Source organism: Homo sapiens, chromosome 7, assembly GCF_000001405.40.
Source record: "Homo sapiens chromosome 7, GRCh38.p14 Primary Assembly".
Taxonomy (NCBI): Eukaryota; Metazoa; Chordata; class Mammalia; order Primates; family Hominidae; genus Homo; species Homo sapiens.
This window is the reverse complement of record NC_000007.14, coordinates 26,713,035-26,728,554: the sequence shown is the minus strand read 5'-3', so window position 1 is coordinate 26,728,554 and position 15,520 is coordinate 26,713,035. Positions and strand designations below refer to the sequence as shown.

The 15,520-nt window shown below is 35.7% G+C and overlaps 1 protein-coding gene across 4 annotated transcripts in view; it reads left to right on the top strand.

Annotated features, from left to right (window-relative positions):
• Positions 1-15,520, top strand: part of SKAP2 (src kinase associated phosphoprotein 2) — a 209,821-nt gene that overhangs the window by 136,036 nt on the left and 58,265 nt on the right. For all 4 annotated transcript variants that reach the window (XM_017012771.3, NM_003930.5, NM_001303468.2 and 1 more), the window contains 3 exons: positions 1,549-1,673; positions 2,569-2,632; positions 2,990-3,127. In XM_017012771.3, coding sequence (XP_016868260.1) covers positions 1,549-1,673; positions 2,569-2,632; positions 2,990-3,127 — 327 coding nt within the window. The remainder of the gene's footprint in view (positions 1-1,548; positions 1,674-2,568; positions 2,633-2,989; positions 3,128-15,520) is intronic.

The window sequence follows — 15,520 nt, the reverse complement described above, 5'->3', positions numbered from 1 at the left end:
ACAAGAACCAACCATGCTTAACCATTTATCATTTTAATACTTTTTTCCCAATAGTTTCCTAGTTAGGTGTCTTACGAAATATATCCTGGGAGTACCATAAAATATTCTGTGAAAAATGATTCCGCGGACAAATAATTTTTGGAAATGCTGCATACTAAATTTTTCTTATAGAAGTTTAATTACTATGTAAATGTACTAAGGGCTCCAAGAAGGCCTGAACTAACAAAACTGCTTAACTCTTGTTTAATTCGGCAAAACGTTTCCCAAATTGATTTGATCACAGAAACCTATTAATATCTTTGGGAAATGCTTCTCTAATCTTTAAAGTACTGTATCGTTTTTGTGAAAAACATAGAGTTTATTGTAGAATTTTTTCATGAAATAAACTTTGATTGTTTCTTTAGACATTCAGAGAGATGTAAATTATGACTAAATGTGATTAGAGTTTCCCAGGAACTGAGATTTTTTTTCTCATTTGATATTTTGAACAAGATATAATCTCTATGACCTAACATATGTTAGTTACTTTAGGCATTTAACTTGTGTATTTAAGAAAAGGAGATGTATCTTTTATTGGTACACTGAACTGAGAAAGCACACCCCACAACACGAAAGCATTTCTGTATTTGCCCCGAGCTCAGTAAAAGAGTTTGTCCCTACTCATGGTTTTAATATTGTTTGTTAATCTAGGAAATAAACCTATAGCTGTATAGTTTTTCTATCAAAATGGTGTAACTGGGTGAAGTAGGAAGGTTGACTAATTTTATTTTCAGTTTCAGAATATTAAGTCCTTTGTTATATTCGCACTTTACTTGTCTTTAAAATAATATCTGACCAAAGCTGTAATCATCTTTTGCCTCTTTATCATGTGAGATTCAAATGTGCTTTACTAGTTTAACTGTTCACTGACTGGATAAGAAACTTTCCCTCTATTTTTGGTAACTAATGCTTCTGTACTTGCTTTACCACTCTTCTTTATCCACATAGTTTTTTTTTCCTTCACATCTTTTTCGTCATGAGTAGTTTAGTTTAGTTTTGGTTTGCTTTGTAAGGTTAGAGATAAATTTGTACCAAGTTAGGAGACCTTTTTTAAAGAAAACTTTTGTTTTAGAAGCTTCTTTTTGGTGGTGGTGCTGGGGAGGGATAGGTGAAAGGAGATAACAGTAGATAAAGCCCGACAAGTTTTCAGCTGGACAGATCTTCCCACTGGCCTACTAAATCTGAAAGAGCCAAAGGTTTGTGGTGGGTTTGTCTAGCAAGTTCTATGTTCTAGTTCCTGAATTTTCCCTACCCTAGAGTGTCATGTTTCCATACTTCCTTCCAAATAAGACCATGATCTGCAGACCTCCTTGTAAGTCCAATCATCCCTAATACTTCCATGTTTCAGAATTAAAAATGATTTCTAAAAACATTACCTAAGCATTATATTACTAAAGCAATATGACCAAAAAATGTTATTTCCAAGAATTGATGAAGAAATTTTACATAAAAGATAATTGAGCATTAATACTTAGTAAATGAAATTCTAACTGGTTTTATCTTCAACAGACAAACAACAGAAAGGTGAATTTGCAATAGATGGCTACAGTGTCAGAATGAATAACACTCTAAGAAAGGATGGAAAGAAAGATTGCTGTTTTGAAATCTCTGCTCCTGATAAACGTATATATCAGGTTGTAGTTTTTATGTTGCCTTGAAATTAAGTTGATAAAATGTTTTGATTTCATTTATAGAGACATTAACATTTGATTAATACTTTCCTTGACATGTTAACAATAATAAAAATACTGATGTTTAAATATATTATGCATTGAACATTCATATAAGAGGAAATTTTTAAAAATTTCAGATTAATTCACACACTATCTTCTTGAAAAAGATAAAGAGAATATATAATTTATCAATTACTTCACATGTTGCACACATGTTGCATAGAACATAGGTGATCACATGTTGCATAGCACTAGGTGATCTTCCAAAAGAATTACATAGCAGAAAGAGTAAAATTATTAAAACAAAAATATCAGAGTGATAATACATATTGTATTGCTTAGGAGTGTGGGAGAAAATGAAGGTAAAAGTACACATCAGCTCTGCAATTCAATAGCTATCAGCTAGGCATCAATATGGAATGTATGTTTAATAAGTTTTAAATATCTGAGATTGCAGTTGAAAGCCAGTTAATTAAGTTGTCAGGTAGTGTGTTGGAATCTGACAAGAACATTTTTAAGAAAACTGTGTGCAGCAGTCTAAAGAAATTCATGGGTGTCTTCTAATTGTCAAGGGCAAATTTTGTTCATCAGTTCTGTCTTTGACATTGATGAAAGAGAAGCAGCTTTTTTTCCTGCACAGCTGCCAGCTGCTGATCAGCGTTTGAAATTCATCATCCTCTGCTTCAATTGCATAAATTTGTCAAAATTAACTGTACATTATAAGAAGCATCCTTGCAAGAAAAGTTCCACTAGACATGAAAAGAATTACTAATAGTCTTAAAGAAATGGTAAGAATACAACATACCTTTCATTCCTACTATGGTGATTTTCGTTCTTACTGTTTGTTTTATATTAGTTTACAGCAGCTTCTCCCAAAGATGCTGAAGAATGGGTACAGCAGCTGAAATTTGTATTGCAAGGTAAGATAAATCAATCGAACAAGTTATCACAGTCTTTAAATACTAAATAACAGAGTAGTTTGGGTTTTCATATACAAAAGCTTATTGACTTCTGTGAGAATGACCAACTTGAATGTGACTGTTATTAATACAGACCACTCACTTCAGATTTTAAACAGCATCTTTTCTATAAGTACCAATTGGCTTACTTTAAAATTCACATATTTACAAAACAATTTTTAAACATGTTTTTAGTTAAGGACATAACATATAACAATATTGTTGTTGCTTTGTAGGGCTGCATTTATTTATAAAGTATAGTTTTAAAAATATCTTCTGCATTCTTTTAAAATTTACTTCATGAAATGTGTTTTATAGATATGGAATCTGATATTATTCCTGAGGATTATGATGAGAGAGGAGAATTATATGATGATGTTGATCATCCTCTACCAATAAGCAATCCACTAACAAGCAGTCAACCAATAGATGATGAAATTTATGAAGAACTTCCAGGTATTTACTTTCTGGTGATTCATTTAAAGATTTTAGGGCTGTGTGTGTGTGTGTGAGTGTGTGTGTGTGTTTGTGTGTGTGATTTGTCCTCGACAGCTTGAGTAGAAAATGGTGACCTATTGAGAACAAGGACAAAGAATATCTTCAAAACTCTATTTTACAAAAAGGGTTCTGCTTGAGATATTTCAAGTGAGTAGATGTAACTTACGAAAAGTGAATGAAACATTAAAATGAAGCAGATACAATACTAATCTCTTGGGACTTGTGGCTCATTAGCATTGTTTATGCTACATAATTTTTTAATTAAAAAATTGACTTGCCTTACAGTTTTTTCCACCAACTCACACATCGTTTTTTATTTATACATCTTGGAACTTCCATTAACCAGAAGTTCTATGCACACCCCAGATGTTACCAACTTCTGCCTCGTATTTCTCCTTGCTTGTAGTATATTGCACTGTCTCAGAGGAATGTTGTTGAACTATAAACAAAGGCCTTTTGAGGCTTCAAGTCTTCCTGTTGATATTTTAGCATCAATATGGAATAAAAAAGTTTTCTTATTCCAAATGCTCAGACCTAGTTTAGTGTTTACATGCCTGTCTGTTATGTAACATAAAATTAATTATCTATTAGCTACTTGACTTGCGGCCATGAGGATCAATCTAAAATAAAAAGACATCTGAAATTTAGGAAACATATGAAAACATTTAGGAAATTGTATTACTAATACTCTAGGCTGAAATGAGCTTTTTTGGCTATTAAAAAATCAGTAGTTAGAGAAGAAAAAGGTATCATAAGCAATATAAGCAAGATTTAACTAGTACATCTCATGTAGAGAGGCCATTTTGCTCTGAATATAACAATTTAATGATGTAATGTTAAACCTTTAAAATTGATTTCAAAAATACTTAAAATGTTCCAAATTAATGTACAAATGTCATTTTCAAGACAATACAGCATAATACCAAGAGTATGGACTTTAGAAGAAAAAAATTTAAATTCTGGCTGTACCATTGACTAGCTTAGTGACTTTATAAGTTAATTTCTTCATTTATAAAATGGAAATAATGTCATTGGGAGGGGTAGGTGAAGTGATTTATGGAAGGCTTTCAGCATAGTGCTTGATCCCACAATTAATTGTAACATCACCATCATTTTTGTTTTATTATTGTATCTGGTGAATTCTTGCAAGTGCTTATGTGGTGGTACAGTAATGGTTTTCTAACCAAGTAAAAAGTAATAATTTTAACAATATTATAAATTTAAGGTATAAAAACTATGTATGCATCTACATATTGTATTTTACTACCCCAGAAGATTAGTATAAAAGTATAATTTTATGGGGAATAGTGATCTGTGTATTTCAGTTGTTTAGTGGAGCTACATGTTTATTAACCCCTTCCTTTCTGGTTTACCCTAAGGAAATGGCATCTGCTGTAGCATCAGTTATCCTCAAGTAGGGAAGAATATTCCCTGGCTGCTTGTTTTTGGTCACACCATATCATTAATACAATTATTTTAGTATTTAAAAATGTTTAAAAGAACTTGTGAGAATGTATACTCATAAAATGGAAGAGTGGAATACATTTAAACACGATATTACTGCCATTACATCCTTTTAAAACCCTGCAATGAATGTGTTACATTACAATTGTTGAAATAACTGTTAAGTTCTGTATTTTTTCAACTTGGCTGTTCTCTCCCCACCCCTAAAGAAAAAAAAAATTGATCAGGAATAAAGACCAGATATTCATAGTTATTTTCATAACAAAGACCTAAGGAAGGTCTGAGTAGCTTGAAATTTTAAAAATATGAAACATCTTTTATTTTTTCTTACTGGAGATATTATTCTTCATTCTTCCTTGCCCCCCTCCTCACCCACCCTCACACATAATTGTTGGAAGTAACTGGTTACTTTTTAAGTAGTGTTACTTCTTGCTGTGGTACTGGGAGAAATTTAAGCTGCCCTGGAATTTCTTTTCCCCTGCTTGGGATCCCCAGTTGCTCTGCAAAGTGATCGAGCTTGATGGAGCCTGCACCTGTGCCCCGGGAAGGAAGCCGTTGTAGGCAGCTGTGGAATGTCTAGTTCCCTTCTTCCCCAATGTAACTGAGAGCTGCTTCAACATCTGCACGGTTCAGCAAGTTTGTCAAGTTTGTGCCAACGGCTACAGAGGGGATTTTTCTAGTAAAGGCCCTAAAGGTGTCTCAGAGTTAGAGGTTTTGTTTGATTAAATGTCTGAAACTAGGAAGGTAACTTTTTTAATTAAAACAATTGTCTCTCTTTCAGGACAAGAATTAAGCTTATTGCTTTCACTTCTGTGAAATTTGAATATAATTTTGATAGAGGAGTTAGAACAATGGAAGAGCAGTAAGCACATTTACATACTGTTGATATTTTTCCAGTTCTGTGCAAAGAACTATGTATCTCTGATATCTGACTGGCTAAATTCCCAGAATTAAATAATACTACAATTTCAACACAATTTTCTGTCAATTATGCATTGTTGAAAACTAATCCTCTTAGTTGAAAGATGAGGTATACAAATGTATTTGAAGAGAAATCTAAGCATTTATTATGCTACTTTAAATCACAAAGCTCTTTTTCTGAGAAACGAAAGCTCTTACTCTAATAAGTGTATTTTTTAAAAACTATGAAATAAACCTGCAGTGTTTTGAGTTTCAAGAGTAAGAAGAAAACGTGGTTTTAAAAATTGCAATGGGCTGGGCGCAGTGGCTCACGCCTGTAATCCTAGCACTTTGGGAGGCCGAGTTAGGTGGATCACTTGAGGTCAGGAGTTCGAAGCGAGCCTGGCCAACATGGTGAAACCCCGTCTCTACTAAAAATAAAAAAATAAAAATAAATAAAAAATTAGCCGGGCATGGTGGCAGGTGCCTGTAATCCAAGCTATTCAGGAGGCTGAGGCAGGAGAATCACTTGAATCCGGGAGGCGGAGGCTGCAGTGAGCCAAGATTGAGGCACTACACTCCAGCCTGGGCAACAGAGTGAGACTGTGTCTCAAAAAAAAAAAAAAAAAAAAAAAATTGCATTGCATAATATCCCTTGAAAAATGTTTATAATTCTACAGGAATCTAAATTGTTTCATTGTAATTGTTTTTCAGTTAGAATATTCTAACTTCATTACAGTACCTTCTGTTTAATTTCTTGTTCATTTATTTTTAACTAACTTCGTAAAGGAATAGGAATAAATTTGTAAGACTTCTTTGTGTTTAAGGGATTTATACATATGTACAAAAGAGTTGCGAGAATGCCATTTCTGGGGAGTATTAAAGGTATTTGGCTTTTCTTCAAATATCCTAATCCTTTTACATCTTTTATGTCTTATTGCTTATTAGCATAGGCCAGTCAGGTTTGTTTACATTGTAATAATACTATAGCATATTTGTGTTTGTGCAGCTAATATATTGATCAAAATGTGTTAAACTGTTTAACATGGTAATGAGTTCATTTGGCTCAGCACAGGTTTGTAAATTTATTGCTCACTTTTTCATTAGAAATACAGAGGAGTGTCTTTGTCTCATTTTGAATCTCAAAAGGGGAAAATAATACTCGTGAAATTGCTGCAGAAACCAACCCTGTTTGCTCTTCTCTTCTATTCACTATGTCACTTGATTTTTTTTCTTTAATGGCAGGAAATTGTACAGAAACAACAACAACAAAAAGATTTTTCTAGATCTAAACTGAATAGAATCAGCCTAGTAATGAGAATGGTAACCATCCATTAACTTATTAAATCTGTAGCTTTCAGAGGGATTGCACTTGAAATGTCTTCTGGCAAGTGGACTGGAGGAGAGAGGGCAACATAAAACAGGAAGACAAATTTCTATTCCATTAACCTATTTTTTTTAAGTGTGAATTCATTTTTTTTTAAATTACAATGACAGATTGAACTATTCTGAGTCAGAAAAGGATATTTTTATCCTTTGGCCATTCAATTACATTTTAAATGTATTCAGTCCAACTATCTGCATCTAAAATAGAACATAAAGTAAAATGCAGCTATAATTTTTTTCCATGAGACTATTATATATACATAAAAAAGAACAGTGTTTGGGTACTTTAATTTGAAGTAGTTTACAGCAAATGGACACAAATGCTAATTTAGTCAATAAGTGGTTATAGGCCCCCAAAATACATTTTGGCTTTATTTTCCTCCTGAATAATTATCACTCATATTACTAAGTTAATATCAGGGTTACAGGGGACCCTGCAGTCTGTGGTATTAACATTGTTTTAAGTGATAGTAGATCCTGACTTCACCAAACAATTTTTCTCCTTTCTTCTTTGGAATGCAATGGAAAGATGTCAATTAATTTTCATAGAACCACATATATTCAGTATTTTAATATTGTTAGTCTAGGCAGCCTGCTAACATTATTTTTTCTTAAACTAGGTACTGAATGGTGAAGTTATCAATGTGGTGATATTGTGGGAATAGTTTTTCCCAAGTAGATAACTAGATTAGGGTTGAATTTTTGGATGGTGATATGGTTTGGCTGTGTCCCCACCCAAATTTCATCTTGAATTGTAGTACCCATAAAATCCCCATGTGTCCTGGGAGGGACCAGGTGGAGATAATTGAATGATGGGGGCAGTGTCCCCTATCCAGTTCTCGTGATAGTGAGTGAGTTCTCATGAGATCTGATGGTTTTATAAGGGGCTCACCCCTTTGCTGGGCACTCATTCTTCTCGATGCTGCCATGTGAAGAAGGACATGTTTGCTTCCCCTTCCGCCATGATTGTAAGTTTCCTCAGGCCTCCCTAACCATGCTAAACTGTGAGTCAATTAAACCTCTTTCCTTTATAAATTTGCCAGTCTTGGGTATGTCTTTATTAGCAGAGTCAGAACAGACTAATACAGATGGTTTCAGCTCTAAAATCTGCTTAGAGGGTTATCCGAAGTTATAAAAAAAAATGAAATCATTCATAAAATAGGGTCACTACACACATATAATATTTATTATTTTTATCTTTGCTGAATATAAATGTGTCTTTGCTGAATATTTGTTCATAGTATTCTTTATGTTGTTTCATAATATAGTATGAAGCTTTGGAATACAGTTCTGCCTGTCTTGTAGCTTTTCTCTATGTTGCCATTGGCATTGCAAATTCCTTTCATTACAAGGGATGGCTTAACACATACTAAACCGAAAATATCTGTGTGCACACAAAACATATATTTCCACTGGTGGTGAGATAAAATGACTCATTTTTGCAAATTGGAGCTACATCAGTGGTTCCCAGCCAGGGAAGATATTGACCCCAGAGTATGTTTGGCAATGCCTGGAGACACTTTTGGTTATCATAACTGGGATGTGTGTGTGTGTGTGTGTGTGTGTGTGTGTGTGTGTGTGTGTTACAGATATGTGGTGGGTAAGGGCCAAGGATGCTGTTAAACGACCTACAATGCACAGGGCAACCCCCACAACAAAGAATTGTCTGGCCCAAACGTCAATAGTGCTGAGGTTGAAAAACCCTGGCCACAGGGATGTAATAGACAACTTTTGGTTTATCACCTTTTTATTCTTATCACTTGAATTAATAAAGATTCATAACCTAAGCTCCATATGAGTTAATTCATTTTTATGGACACAGGTTTTCTTACATACATGAAACTAGGATTACATAGAATGTTTCTAGGTTTTAAGAGATCAGCTGGACTTGCCTATCACGTTTCCTTCAAGGAGTAGTATTGAAATTCTATCCATCTTGTAGAAATGAGCAAGCCAGGAAGATAAAAAATGAAGGAAGCATTTTCTCTATTTTCATGAGCTACTATCTTGGAAGGAAGAGGTTTCTAAAAATACCTTGTAGATGTGTGAATACTTGATTTATCCTATTCTGATAGGGTTGTTCTTTTGAGGCTGAAGGAAAAGACCGGTGGGTGTGGGATTGGACTGTCTGTAAAGGGAGTCAGGCATCCTGGGGGAATGCAAGGCTGAGCAATTCCAGGGCTGTCTGGAATTTGACGAGTGGCTTTAGGAGAAGTGGAAACCCTTTTATGTGACTTCTCTATCTTTTTGGACCTGGACTTTGAAGAGGCTAGTAGGATTGAGATGATCTCTGCCCCTGGAGTTAGACGGGAAGTCTTGGAGGCAGCCCTCCAAGGGGATCCGTGAAGAGGAGCTCACTTTAATGTACTTCACAACAAGCCATACTGTGTGATTATTTTATATTATTTGTTCACTTCCCTTTCATTATTGCTAAATCTTAGATTTCTTTTTTTTCTTTTTAAAGATAGGGTCTTGCTCTGTTGCCCAGGCTGGAGTGCAGTGGTGCATTCATGGCTCACTGCAGCTTCAAACTCCTCAAGTGTTTCTCCTGCCTTAGCCTCTTAAGTAGCTGGGACTACAGGCATGCGCTGCCATGCCTAATTTTTTAGTTTTTAATTTTGTAGAAATGGAGTCTTACTATGCTGACCAGGCTGGTTTTGAACTCCCAGCTTCAAGTGATCCTTCTGCCTCATCCTCCCAAAGTGCTGGGATTACAGGCATGAGCCATTTCACTAGCTACTAAGTCTTAATTTTTAAATCCTTATTTACAAACAATACATGCTTGCTGGAATAAGCTTAAATATTCCTGATGTGCATAAAATAAAAAAGTGGGGCTGGGTGCAGTGGCGCATGCCTGTAATCCCAGCACTTTGGGAGGCCGAGGTGGGCAGATCACAAGGTCAAGAGATTGACATCATCCTGGCCAACGTGGTGAAACCCCGTCTCTACTAAAAATACAAAAATTAGCTGGGCGTGGTGGCACGTGCCTGTAGTCCCGGCTACTCGGGGTGCTGAGGCAGGAGAATTGCTTGAATCTGGGAGGTGGAGGTGAGATCGAGATCTCACCACTGCACTCCAGCCTGGTGACAGAGCGAGACTTCATCTTAAAAATAAAATAAAATAAAATAAAATAAATTAAAATAAAATAAAAAAGTGGAAGTCACTCCCTACCCTACGTAAACTTTGTTAACAGTTTGATGTGAATCTTTTTGTTCCTTTTTTGCCTATTTTTAAATATACATATACATATAAAAGTTTTAAAACAAAAAAGAGATCCTTTTTATTTACTTTCTTCTGGCCTTTTGTAAAATTTTCTTCCTTTCATTTTCTTCCTATTTCATTTTTACCTTCCTCCTTTCTCATGCTTTTATTTTCTCATTCCTCTCCCCTATTTTCATTTCCATCCTTTCTCTTCTTCCTTGCTTTCATTTCTTTCATTTCATAAGTATTCTTGAGTACCTGTTATGTGCCAGGCACTGTGCCTAAGTGTTGGGAATCCCCCAGCATCCTTACACAGGCCTCAAAGGAGTGCCCTTTTTGGCCTAAGCCTAGACTTACTACCATACCTCCATGTTTATTTATGTCTTATGTATGTATGTATGTATGTATGTATATATATATAATATCCTCATCGCATGAGTTTTCTGTTTTTGCTTTTCTGATATAGAAATTCTGTCTCCAATGGGCAGAGTCTTCCAGCAGATAGTGTCAAAAGTAGCTTTGTGTCTTTATATCTTGACACTTTTAAAAAAATATTTTTTAATTTTTTAAAAATTTAATTATTTTTATTTTTTTATTTTTTTTGAGACAGGGTCTTGCTCTGTCACCCATTCTGGAGTGCAGCGGCATGATCTCAACTCCCTGCAACCTCTACCCCCGAGGTTCAAGTGATTTTCCTGCCTCAGCCTCCCAAGTACCTGGATTACAGGCATGCGCCACCACGCCCAGCTAATTTTTTGTATTTTTTTTTTTAGTAGAGACAGGGTTTTGCCATGTTGGCCAGGCTGGTCTTGAACTTTTGACCTCAGGTGATTCGCCCACCTTGGCCTCTCAAAGTGCTGGGATTATAGGTATGAGCCACAGCATCTGGCCCTTTTTTTTTTTTTTTTTTTTTTTTTTTTTTTTTGAGATGGGGTCTTGCTCTGTCACCCAGGCTAGAATGCAATGATGTGATCTTGGCTCACTGCAACCTCCACCTCCTGGGTTCAAGCTGTCCTCTCACCTCAGCCTCCTAAGTAGCTGGAACTACAGGTGCATGCCACCACGCCTGGCTAATTTTTAATTTTTTTGTAGAGACGGTGTTTTGCCATGTCGTCAAGATGGTCTCCAACTTCTGAGTTCAAGCGATCTGCCCACTTCAGCCTCCCAAACTGTTGGGATTACAGACATGAGCCACTGTGCCAGGCCAATGCCTGCTTAGAAGCCATCCTCCACTTCCCCTGTTTCTCTCCATCTGTCTCTTGTCTGGCTCTACGCCTTGCTGCAGACACCCAGAGTACCTTCCTCTGTATCTGTGACTAGTAGATTGTTGTGGTTGTGAGAAGGGGCTCTGGAAGGAAACACACATCACTTTGAATCCCAGCTCTGCCCGTTATATGTGCTTCAGCCAGAAAAGGAGTGAACACAGGAAAGATGGAGAATACACAGGAAAGATGGAGCATGGAAATGGGCAAAATGTGTCAGTAACTTTATTGATTATTTTAAAATAAGCTTTGTTTTAATCTAAAAAAGAGGCAAAACTAAATTTAGGCAATAATTTAAAAGTTAGCTGGGGCAAGATGGAGATGGGGGGTAGTGAAAGCATGCCAGATGTTGTCCTGTTCAGAAGGACGGAGGAGAGGAATACTAATTTTAATTTTTGTTAGGAAATGTATGTTAAAATTTTAGAGTTAAGTACTAAGGAAATAGAATGCAATCTTGCGTTGCTCAAAGAAGCAGAGGGTAAATAAAAGGTGACCACGTAAAACAATGTAAACACAAAAGAAGGCAACAAACAAGAAATCAAAGAGAAAATATGGTAAAATTAAGCCATAATATAAAAGTAAGAATGATAAATATAACTTAGTCTATTAAAATAAATGTTTGCATTAGACATTTTTAAAAGTCTAGCACTATTCTTCTTGGAGATACACCTGAAACAAAACCACATAGAAAGTTTCAAAGTAAGGAAATGGAAATAAATACACCATGCATTTCTATCCAAAGAAAGCTACTATAGCTATGTTAACATCAGATAATATGGAATTTAAGGCATAAAGCAATAATAGGACTACAGATGACACTACATAACAAAAATGAAAGAAGATAAAGCTCAAATTCATCTAACTATATAACCCTAATATCTATAACACGAAAACATATAAGACTAATTTGACAAGTTCTTAATCATAGTGGGAAATTTTAAGATACCCCTTTCAAAAACTGATAGACCAAGGAGGCAAAAAATAAGTAAGGATATAAAGATTTAACCACAAAATTAATAATCTATCAAAAAGATATAAAGTAACATTGCATAGTAGAGAATATTTGTTCATTCAGTACACATAGAATAATCATAGAAATTGACTACATATGTGTTCACAGTTAAACTCTCAACAAATTACACTGAATCTGTGTTATACAGACTATGGTCTTTAACTACAATTAAATTTAATTAAGAGCCAACTCTGAAAAGGTAGTTGAAAATACCCAAACCCATGTGTTTGGAAGCTGAAAAAATAATAGTTCATGAGTTAAAAGAGGAAATTACAATGGAAATGACAAAATATGTAGTTTTCCATATGAAATACACTGAAATTAGTACAAATAACAACTTGTAGCATTGTAGCATTGTTGTTAACTCTTTTTTTGGGGGAGGGAACAGAGTTTTGTTCTTGTCACCCAGGCTGGAGTGCAATGGCATGATCTCGGCTCACTGCACTCTCCACCTCCTGGGTTCAAGTGATTTTCCTGCCTTAGCCTTCCGAATAGCTGGGATTATAGGTGTGCACCACCATGCCTGGCCAATATTTTAGTATTTTTAGTAGAGACGGGGTTTCACCATGTTAGCCAGGCTGGTCTTGAACTCCTGACGTCAGGTGATCCACCCGCCTCGGCTTTCCAAAGTGCTGCGATTACAGGCTTGAGCCACTGTGCTTGGCCATGTTATTAATTCTTTGGGGAGAATTAATCCCCAAAGAACTGGAGATGACAGAACTATAAAGGCTATAAAATCAACATTATTTACAATGATTCAAGGATAAAATAAGGAAAAGAAACTTTAACAAGAGAAAAAGATCCTGTAAAAAAAAGATCAGATTTTTTTAAAGAACCAAATAGAATCACTAGAAATTATTGATGGTTTGGATCACTTAGCCATTGAATTCAAAACTTTTAGAGTCACATACATATGTTTACATTGCTGAGGGAACCAATAGAATACATATTAAAATTCTGAACCAGAAGATAAGCAAATGTCAACCACTTTAATCAAATTAAAATGCTAATATTTGTAAAGAAAAAAGAAAAATTATGTTAATGGGGCTAGGCTTTTATGTTTTTTCTGTGAATCCTGGATGAAAAATCCTAACACTGTACCAGAAGGTCAGATATTCACACGATAGGATTTGTATCTGAACATAATCAAGTGTTTTATCCTTTGCCACCAAGAAATCTCAACAAGTAAAGACATAGCTTCTAACAGTCTTCATATCAGACTTTTAAACTGGAGTCTTCATTCTTCAGATATGATTTGTCTCCCATATAGAATATAAACAGATCACAGCCTGCTTTTGTTTTTAATTCATCCATTCTTTCAGAAGATAGAATATGATAAAGTTTGTAGTAGCTTCACGAAAATGTATTTGCTTCTTTAATCCCAGAAAAAAAAATACACACATATGTACACATAGCCACACGAACACATACATCTATAGAGACAGACTGCAGCAAGAGAGTATCAAGCTTCACTATTTTTGCAGATAGGTCAGCTGGGAATATCAACTTCCTAAGAGTACTCAGCTGCTTACTTTAAAGCAGTGATTAATAAGAATGAACAAGTTCAACAAAATGTCAGTGATAAATATAAGCACTCTTCATATCTGGCCTCGGCAAGTGCTACAGCTGAGTAATGTAAAACTTTCAACAAAATGGGAAAAAATCCAATTTAACTTAATCAAGCTTAAGTGAAATTTTACCTTAATTTTGTTTCAAATAAAACATTCGTTTATAGATGTTTTCCTCTTTATTAGAACTTCATTAGAATTTTTACGAAGAAATAACAACTGCTTATAGCCACTTATCCATTAGCCCCTTTGTTCCTTATTAAAGAAGTTAAGATGGGGCAGTTTTTTTAATATATATAATAAGGACATTCAGTTGCAAGGTCTGAGTTTTTTGGACTAGATCCCAAATCTGCCTCCTGCATGGGCCTCTTTTCACATCCTGGTTCAAGGAACTACAACCTAATCGTGCTTCTCTTAAGCACACAAATTCTTGGAAGAGCTCCCTTTGTTCCTGTTGTCTCTTCACCTGCTTACTCTTTATCCTCAGGCAGTTTGGTTTTCTATCCTCATTCCTTAACTAAACCAGCTTCTTCAGAGTCACCAGTACTCTCCTAATCATCAGTCTTGGTCCTCAAATTCATCTCTAGAAATTTGATTTTACTTACCACCGCTTTTGTCTTGAAACTGTCTCCACCTTTGCCCTTCTCCAGTTTGTTTTCTTGTTTACATATTATATTTACAAATAAGCATCTTAGGTCGGGCGCGATGGCTCATGCCTGTAATCCCAGCACTTTGGGAGGCCGAGGCAGGTGGATCACGAGGTCAGGAGATAGAGACCATCCTGGCTAACACAGTGAAACCCCGTCTCTACTAAAAATACAAAAAATGAGCTGGGCGTGGTGGCGGGCACCTGTAGTCCCAGCTACTCGGGAGGCTGAGGCAGGAGAATGGTGTGAACCCAGGAGGCGGAGCTTGCAGTGAGCCGAGATCGCGCCACTGCACTCCAGCCTGGGCGACAGAGCGAGACTCCATCTAAAAACAAAAAAAAAAACAAAAAAGAACAAATAAGCATCTTAGCACTGTATTACATTTCCACATTTCCTGTTGCTTTTTACTGATTGTTTCAAATTATTTTCCAGTCTATCCTTTCCTAATACTGAAGCTTTTTGTTTTTATCTTGTCTTACCTTCTCCTCATGTCATCTTATTATTATTCACTTAATTAACTCATCCAGCAAATATTTATTGAAAGCCCATTGCATGTCAGATTCTGTTCTAGGTGCTGGGAGTTTAGGCATGAAAAAGGCAGACCTAGTCCCTATTAAGATAGTTACAGATTGTAGTAGGTGACACAAGATAAGAGGATAATGTGAGAGGGAGTAAATGATGTGTATTCTATGGTTAAAGAAGAGATGACATTTAAACTGAAGCCTTTTGGATAAATGCAAAAAGCCAAACGAAGCACTTTCCAGGCACAGTGAACACCAAATTCAAAGGCTCTGAGCATGGACAATCCTGGGGTGTTCAAGAACCAGAAAGGAGGGCCATATGTAGCCAGGCAGAGAGGTTAAAATGAGATTGGAGAGAAGGGCAACAGCCAGGTTAAGCAGGGCCTTCCT